Source organism: Homo sapiens, chromosome 13, assembly GCF_000001405.40.
Source record: "Homo sapiens chromosome 13, GRCh38.p14 Primary Assembly".
NCBI classification, from domain to species: Eukaryota; Metazoa; Chordata; class Mammalia; order Primates; family Hominidae; genus Homo; species Homo sapiens.
In genome coordinates this window covers 18,965,771-18,975,832 of record NC_000013.11, presented here as the reverse complement: position 1 = coordinate 18,975,832, position 10,062 = coordinate 18,965,771, and positions in this window count along the sequence as shown.

The window sequence follows — 10,062 nt, the reverse complement described above, 5'->3', positions numbered from 1 at the left end:
TTATTTTCCTTGCCTATTTGCATTTGTTTCTGCAGTGAATAAAAACTTTTGTTTTCTTTTAAATTAGAGGGGTTTTCTTTGAGAAAGGGTCTCATTCTGTTGTCCAGGCTGGAGTGCAGTGGCACAATCATAGCTCACTGTAAACTCAAATTCCTGGGCTCAAATGAGTCTCCTGCCTCTGGCCTTTAAGTAGCTAGGACTACAGGCATGCAACACCATGCCTGGGTAGTTTTTGTTTGTTTGTTTGTTTTTACTTTTAGTAGAGACAAGGTCTCACTATGATGCCAAGGCTGGTAATAAGAATTTTAAAATGTGTTTTTAAAGTATTTTAGTGTCCTAGGAAAATAAGCTGACAATTAAATGTTTAAGTCTACCATGTGCATAAAAGAAATCAGGCAGTAGAAGAAAATACTAAGTCAGCAGGTATCATTACAACTTTTCTGTGATCTCTTACTCCTTTAGGGAAATTTCACTGGTGGATGTCCATGTTTTCTCATTCTCTGGGTGCCCCGTTAGTTGGTAGTCACCCCAGTAGCGGGCCTGGAGAGTTGCAGGATGAAGCTGGTATCAGATTCCAACCTTTTTGTTCTTTTATACAGACAACCAGAAATGGGTAACAGCCAGAAGAGAACAAAATGGCCCTTTCCTCTTGGTTTTGAAGTAATTGTAAGTGAAGGAAAGGGCTCATTGCATGTCCTTGGGAATGGTCATCATCCTCTTTTTTCTCCACTGGCCCACCCAGGACCTTATACCTGATTGTCATCATATCAGTAAGTGGAATGACCTCAGAAAACAATACCAGAAAGAGGATGAGAATAACATTGATAAACGCAAATCGTTGCCTGAAAGCAGGTGTCAGCAAAGTTTTACTGGAACACAGTGACACATATTAGGTTACTGATTGTCTGTGGTTGCTTTTGCATGATAGCAGCAATTGAGGAATTGAGAGTTGAGCCAGGAGCTCACAAGCCCCCAGTATAGACTCTCTTGACGTTTTATTATAGATGTATGTATTTGTTGTCTGACTTCTGTGTCTGAAATGTAACATCCATGAGGGCAGAAACATGGTGTCCCTAGCAGGCCCTTCCTTAGTATTAAGAATAGTGCCTGACACATGTTGGGCACTCAGTAAATCAATATTGAATGAATAAAACTGAATACCATAATGACAAGTGAAGACCTTAATCATAACTTAAGAAAACAGAAGCCAAGGAAAGGAAGACAATTTTATGCAACTGCACCATGTTGCTAAGGAATGAAAGAACATATATATTTTTAAAGGAAATCAAAGATTATAAAACAGTGAAATGAGAAGAAAGATTTCAAAGCAAAAGGAAGAAACTGAGGGCTAAAACAAAACCACCATGGAACTGGCAGATAAATTAGAACAGTAATGATTGAAATATGATTAGCTAAACTAAAATTCTGATATAAAGGCTTAATTTAATCATGTTGAGTGCAGAGAATAAAAGACAAAGCAATAAGAGACCATGTAATCAGTAATGGAGGACAGTCAAAAAGTGATCAACGTAAAGACAATTGATGTTCCTGAAGTCGAGAACCCACCAATGAAGAAACCTGTTAAAGATAGAATAGCCACAAGATACGAGATAACAACATTATACATAATTAGTGATAGATTCATAGAGAAACACTAACCTTAAGCTATATTCTGGTTAAATTTTTTAACCTTGAAAACAAAGAAAAATTGTTTAGATTTCTAGGCAGAAAATGCAAATCACCAGCAAAGGATCACCATCCTTTTAGGATGAAGATTAGATAACCTCTTGGCTTTATGAAACCAATGTTTACTGGTGGACAAGGGAGTAAAGGCTACTTAGGACTTGGTAAAAGAAAAGCAACTGTGGAATGATGGGAAAATATGAAAGGAAAAGTTTTTTAATTTTGCAAGAAAAGATCTGGAAAAAAATGCACACAAATGGACACGCACACACAATCTGCGGACTTCAGAAGCTTTCTTTAGAATTGTAATTCATTTTTATTTTTTTTCATGTAATGTGTCATTTTGGCATATCTGCCAGATTGCTTTGAGGTAGCTTTGTGCTGTGAGTCTAATGGATTCTCATTTGGTTGTTCCTGAAGTTGGCTTCCCTATGTCTGGCCCCAAATCAGGCCAAGTAATCAGGTATGCTGCTTCTGCAACTCCCTGATGATGTTTATATTCTCTGATTAGTGTATTCTACAAGCCTTTTGTTGTTGTTGTTTTTCTTAAACCGCTTAAGGTATGATTGACATCTAAAAAGTTGTACATATTTAATGTATACATCTTGATCAGTTTGGGGATAAACATCCATGAAACCATCACCATCATCAAGGTCATAAACATACCTGTCACATCTCAAAGTTTCCTCCCACCCCTTTTATTATGATTGTTGTTTTGATAAGAGGTCTTAACAGAAGATCTACCCTCTTAGCAATTTTAAGTACACAGTACAGTATGGTTAGCTATAGGCACTATGATGAAACTTTGTACCCTGTAACCATCACTTTCCAATCTCCCCCTTCCCCCAGCCCCTGACAACCACCATGCTACTCTCTGCTTCACTGTTTTAGATTTCACATATATGTAAAATCATACAGTGTTTGTCTACCTGTATCTGGCTTATTTCACTTAACATAATGTCCTTTGGGTTCATCCATGTCACAAATGGCAGGGTTTCCCTTTTTTGGGGGCTGAATAATATTCCATTGTGTGTATACACCACAATTTCTTCATTCGTTCATTTATCAATCAACACGTAGGTTGTTTCCATATGTTGGCTGCTGAGAATGCTGCAGTAAACATGAGAGTACAAATATCTCCTCAGCATATTGATTTCGTTTCCTTTGGATATGTACCCAATAGTGGGATTGCTGGACCACATGGCAGTTTTATGTTTAATTTTTTGAGGAACCTGTATACTATTTTCTATAATGGCTGTAACAATTTATATTCCCACCAGTAATATACAAAGTTTTCCTTTTTTCCACATCATCACCAACAGTTATCTTTTTTAAAAAATATGAGCCACCCTCATTGTGTATTTGATTTGCATTTCCCTGGTGATTAGTGATGGTAAGCACATTTTCCTATGTCTGTCAGTCATTTGTATGTCTCCTTTGGAGAAATGTCTATTTAGGTCCTTTGCCCATTTTTTCATTCAGGTTATTTGTGGGTTTTTCTGCTGTTCAGTTGTATGAGTCTTTTAGGAATTTTGGATATTAAACTCTTACCAGATAATATGGTTTGCAAATATTTTCTCCCATTCTATAGGTTATCTTTTCATTTTATTGATTGTTTACTGTGCAGAAGCATTTTAGTTTGATATAGTCCCACTTGTTTATTTTTGCTTGGTGTTGTATCCGGTATCAAGGATCTTTTCCCCTATGTTCTCTTCTAAGAGTTTTATGGTTTCAAGTCTTACATTTAAGTTTTTAATCCATTTTGAGTTGATTTTTGGGTATGGTGTACAACAGCTGTCCAATTTCATTCTTTTGTGTGTGGATATCCAGTTTTCCCAACATCATTTATTGAAGAGACTGTCATTTTCCCACTGTGTATTCTTGGTATCCTTATTGAAATTTAGTTGACCATATATGATGGGTTAATTTCTGGGCTCTCTATTGTGTTACATTGGTCTATGTAGCTGTTTTTCACTAGCCTTTCTACCATGCATAGTTGTTATCACAGACTACAAAAACATCTTAGGTATTTTTAAATTTATTGCAGTGTCTTATTTATGGAGCTAGTGATTGCTTCATTGGCTCTGCTGCAGGACTCTGTTCTGAGAGAAGCAGGATTAATATTTCATGCAACCTCCCTCAAGCTGCAGCTGCTGTATGTCCTGATGTCTTCAGCCTGTTTTGCTTGAGAGATGGGTTCTAGTGCTTGCCAAGCTTCTAAGTACAAAGAATAATACCATTATTGAAAAGGTCCAAAACCACATGAATGAAAAGATTTGATTGCCTTTACAATGCCATATAAGACATGAGAAATGTACAGACAAAACAGTCATTCAAGGGTGGGTGCATTGGCTCATGCCTGTAATCCCAGCACTTCGGGAGGCCCAGGTGGGCGGATCACTTGGGGTCAGGAATTTGAGACCAGCCTCGTCAACATGGTGAAACCCCATCTCTGTTTAAAAAAAAAAATACAAAAACTGGGCTGTGCACGGTGGCTCAGGCCTGTAATCCCAGCACTCTGGGAGGCTGAGAGGGCCAGATCACTTGAGGTCAGGAGTTCACAAGCAGCTTGGCCAACATGGTGAAACCATCTCTACTAAAAATACAAAAACTAGCTGGGCGCAGTGATGCATGCCTGTAATCCCAGCTACTCTGAAGGCTGAGGCAGGAGAATCCCTTGAACCTGGGAGGCAGAGGTTGCAATAAGCCGAGATAGCACCATTGCACTCCAGCCCGGGTGACAGAGTGAGACTGTATCTCAAATAAAATAAAAATAAATAAATACATACCTACATAAGTAAATAAATGATTAGCTTGGCATGGTGGTGCTTGCCTTTAATCCCAGCTTTTCAGGGGGCTGAGGCACGAGAATTGCTTGAACCTAGGAGGCAGAGGTTGCAGTGAGTTAAGGCTGTGCCAGTGCACTCCAGCCTGGGCAACAGAGTGAGACTGTCTCAAAAAAAGAGAAGAAAAATAAGAATCACTCAGTACTGACACCTTTGAGAGTCCACTAGCAGTTTGCACTGGGTTCCTCATTACCTTTGTCTTCAAATTATTTTCTCAATATAAAAGACACAATCTTTCATTGAATGTGAGCTCATTCTTTTTTTCTTTATAACCATAAGAGAGTATATCACTTTCAGATCCCTAATATGTGATAAAATGTAAAACATTTTATACTTCTGACTCCTAGTAAAATAAAATACCCAATAAGCTTATTTAAGACACATACATTCATCTTTTGGATACTTTTTAACAAAAACCTGATCACTATCTAGGAGTCAGTTTTCTGAAAACTTCTTGGAGGGAAAACCCAACATCTTGATGGGATCATTGGGGTCAAAACTTCTGTCCTTAAAATTTGTGCAAGAGGAATAATAATAACTCTAAGGTGAGTGAAAAAATCTGTAAGATGATTAGCATCGTAATTTGTAAAGATTATGAAAGGAATGCATAGACAGGAAGTTGAAGATGGTAAAGGAAGTTGTGTTACATTCAACTGAGAAGTATGGGGATGCCCCCACTTAGTGGTAGAATAAAACAGAAGACAGGTGACAGTTACTTGAACGTGTTCTCTAAGAAAGCAATCACAACTTTCTTAACTCCACTGTTACGATCACTTTACCAAAAACATGCATGCTGGGATGGACTCACTATTTTTTACTGAGACTATAATGCTAAAGTTGCTTAATAAGAGATTTGCTACAACAACAATAACAAAAACCTTGCTTTAACCTAGTAGAGTATCAAGATCTGTATTTTTACAATTATTTCATTCAAGAAGCTTCTTCCTTGGGTTTAAATAATCATTTACCAAATTAATGGAATAGAATAAAGTACCCAAGAATGTTCCCTTTTGGACACAGAAATTTAAAGAGACTGATATGGTTTGGATCTATGTCCCCACCAAATCTCATGTCAAATTTTAATCCCCAGTTTTCGAGGTGAGGCCTGGTGAGACGTGATTGGATCATGGGGGCAGATAATCCCTCCGGTAATGTCATTGCAATAGTAAGTGAATTCTTGAGAAATCTGGTTGTTTAAAAGTGTGCAGCACCTCCCCTCGCTCTCTTTCTGCTGCTCCTGACATGTAAGAGGCCTTGCTTCCCACTTTGCCTTCCGCCATGATTGGAAGCTTCCTGAGGCCTTTGCAGAAGCCAAAGCCTCTCTACTTCCTGTATAGCCTGCAGAGCCATGAGCCAATTAAACCTCTTTTCTTTATAAATTGCTCAGTCTCAGGTATTTCTTTATAGCAATGCGAGAATGGACTAATATAGAGACATTTTCCTTTCCACTCTAAGCAAGACAGATGAATTCAAAGATGAGTGAATCAGAAAATCATCAGTGGTGGCTTTTCGTGCTTTATTAGGCACACTGGTGACCTGCAGACAGAAATGCTTACATTGGGTGACAACTAGAAAGCGAACAAGGTCATTAGAATTCAATTTATCTATAATTTAGGGCATTATTCTCCTCTGTAAATGGTAGCTTCTAAGAATAAACAGTATTGTATTATACTTTTGGATTTTAATAAAGATTTCATTTACCCGGTAAGAAAGACAAATGGGAGGACACCTAGAGCTAAAATCCAGAGAGCCTGGCCCTGCTCTGGGGTTCTGGAGACACAGACACAGTGCTGCTCTCAAGAATGATTTGTCATCTTAGGCAAGGTTGGTATTCAGTAAATCCGGGTTGACTTTCAATTCATTCCAAAAATTAAATATTTTCATTCGATAGAAAACAAGGACATCAACATGCAGTTTGTCAGTCCTGAGATTTGTCATGATTAAAATGCTGAGATGGTGCCAACAGTGTTTTGTAAGTTAACGTAGCAAGTGTTTGTCAAGCGCTTAGCAAGTTCTTTTGAGAACATTTTTAAAAGTGTGACGCATAATTCCTCATCTTAAGAATCTTACCAGTACATTTAATGAAAATAATTCAGGATACCCAAAAATGCGTTACATAAGTTAACCAGTTTCTCAGTCTCTATAGAATCTCTCCTTTAGAAATCTTGGCACTTTGTAAATCTCTGACCTGTTCTAATGGGCAGAAATTCCTCCTAAACCTTGGAAGGTAGAAAGGAACATGGCAGAGAATAGTTTAAAGGACGTCACAGTTTCTGAAATGGCCTTGACTTAGCCCGTATGGTGTTCGTCCCATCCCAAAAGCATCCTTTCCCCTCATGTAATTGAAGATTTCTCACATTCATGGAAAATTTGACATTTTTCTTAAGTGGTTCCCCTGTGAGAATATGAAAGTATTTTCTACCTTTGAAAAAAATAAGAAAATAACCACACAGAAATATGAAAAGATTACTTCACATTTAAGACCCCAAACACCATTACACTGTATATATTAAAACATTGTCTTCTACACTTTAAACACATATACTAAAAAAGAAAATATTTTTAAAAGAACCAAAGAAATCGGGGATTATATTTATTTTTACATTTTATTGTTTTCAATATTATGAAAACCTGTACCATGTAACAATAATGTAAGAAATACAGCCACTGAGGCTGGGTGCGTTGGCTCACGCCTGTAATCCCAGCACTTTGGGAAGCCAAAATATGCTTAAACCAATAAAGGGTATCTATCAAAAATACATAGATTACTTGAAGCCAGGCGTTCGAGACCACCCTGGGCAAAATGGCGAAACCACATGTCAAAACAAAAAACAAACAAACAAAAAAACACCAAATTAGCCAGCCTTGGTGGAGCATGCCCATAACCCCAGCTACTTGGAATGGTGAGGCATGAGAATCGCTTGAGACCAGGAGGTGGGGGTTTCAGAAAGCCAAGATCGCACCACTACATTCCAGCCTGGGTGACAGAGCTAGACTCTGTCAAAAAACAAACAAAACTGCCATTGATAGACAGTTACCCCTCCAGTGCCCAATTTTCTAAATCAAACAGCACAACCAACTAGATCAGAGAATTCATATTATACAATCTGCTGTCTAGGAAAAATGATAAGAGTTTTTAAAATTGAGCACGGACACTTCATCATCTAATATGTTCCCAATGTCATCTTTTCCTATCCCCACTCATCACTCTTTGCCCCTAATTTTAGAGTTAGGTGTGAAGCAAAGGATATTGCCTATAGACTAATGCCCAAAAGTCTCACTATATTGCTAAGCAAAAACATATATCAGGATACCTTCTTTCATTGTGCTTCACTCTACAGCACTTTACAGATACTGCATTTTTTTTTACAAATTGAAGATCTGTGGCAAACCTGCATCAAGCACGTGTATTGGCGCCGTTTTTTCCAACAGTATGTGCTCATTTCATGTCTCTGTGTCAGCATTTGTTAGCAATAAAGTATTTTAAATTAGGTTTTTAAACATAATGATATTGCACACTCAATAGACTGAAGGATAGTGTAAACGTAACTTTTATATGCAGTGGAAAACCAAAAAATTTGTGTGACTCACTTTATTGTGCTACTCACTTTATTGAGGCAGCCTGGAATCGAACTCAGAATATCTCTGAAGGAATATAGTGGAAGTCTTGGCTATGCAAGGGGATTTTAACATATTGGAGTTGCCAGATATAAAAACAAACCTCCGAAAAGTCTCCTAGTGAAAGATGACCATATTATCTTGTCCCCGAGCCCCAGTGATCATGACCACCCAAAGCTTCATTAAATGATAATTATACTTTTAGATTCTGAGAATCTCCTTTTAAAAACCTAAGAGGGAAATACACACGGACTGTCAAGAGGGCGTGGCAAATTGGACTCAAAAGCATCACAGGTTTCCCTATGGACCAGAAATGGAACAGAAATACAAAGTCACACGTGACACAAGCCACAGACCTGCCAGAATCTCTGTCCAGAAACAGGGAGTGGCAACTTGGAATTGGGCTACTGCGTAGTGATACAGACTAAATGTGCTCTGTAAAAGGTGGGAGATTAGTAGGCTCTGTACATCTCTGCTTGAATCCAAAGGCTAAAGCAAATTTCAGAAGAGGAAATAAAAAGTCCTGCTTGCTTACTGCCTGGAGATTCAGCTTTATAGGGAACTACAGTTTCTGAAACCAATAAGGGGTATCTATTAAAAATATAGAGCATACAGCATACAGAATACTTACAGCATTCCATCAGAGTCATTTCCTTTTGATAGAGAAAATTAAGAAAATAATACTGGTAATTATTCTAACATAAATACGAAATATGTAGGAAGTTACAAGGAGGATATAGGGAAGAGTAATGGAATACATTGTGTCTATCAGATTATCAAAATAGATTAAGAAGCAATAATTAAAGAAATTTGGTATTTCAAGAACTAGAGACATGGGGAGAATCCAGAAAGAACCCAGAAATAGATGTAAACATAAAGATAGTGTATCGAGTCAGGAAAGAATAGATGACTGCCTTCATAAATAGTGTAGAACACCTGGCTAAACAGTTGGGAAAAAAGAAAGTGACATCAATAAACCTAAATAAATTCCACATGGATCAAAGACTGCAAAGTAACAAAAGCATAGAAGTTATAGAAGAGAACATTAGTGAACTTAGTATACCAAAGTGGGCAAACTTTCTAAAACAAAGATGAAGACCAGAAGCCATAAAGGAAAAGATTAGTAAGGTTGACTACGTACAAACCCATAAAGAAGACCTGAACAAATAGGAAAATAAGCAATGTAAAACATCAGTGTCCTATTAAAAGTCAACTATCAATTTGGCAAAAATGCAAGTTTGAGAACACAAATCCCTGGCAAAGAATTATACCACCATTCTTCATGGAATACAAATTTGTGGAACTTTTCGGAAGGCAATTTGGTAATAAGTATGAAACATTTAAATACATATATTCTTTTACATAGCATTTCACCTGTAGGAATTCGCAGATATGCCTCAAAAACACCACAAAATATCTACACGGAGACACTAAAGCGTTATTTCTAAACAAAGGACATTAAATATCTGGCAAATGGATTGGTTTAAAAAAAAGTATGGAATATCTTGTGATGGAATACTGTATAGCCTTTAAGAAGAGGGAGATAGGTCTTAACAAACTGGTAGAGAAACATCTCTGGGATGTATTTTCAAGTAAAAAACAGTGGAGAAGAGTGTGTTTCAGTATGAGTTCTTTGAGTAAGAAAAAGAAAAAATGGATGGATTATGTATATTATGTGTGTTTTACATATAAATTTTAATACTGACATTACGGACGTGAGCCACTGTACCTGGTCTAGTTTGACGTTTTTGATGAAATGTAGTGCATTTTATCCAGGACGGTGACATTTCATTGACTCGAAGGCTGCCTTTGCATTTCCCTATCTTCGCTGGATATGAGTTGGCTGGATTTGACAGTGACCTGATGTGTCCAGGTGTCGCGGGTGCCCTGTTGTCAGCTCTGAAGAGCAGTGGCT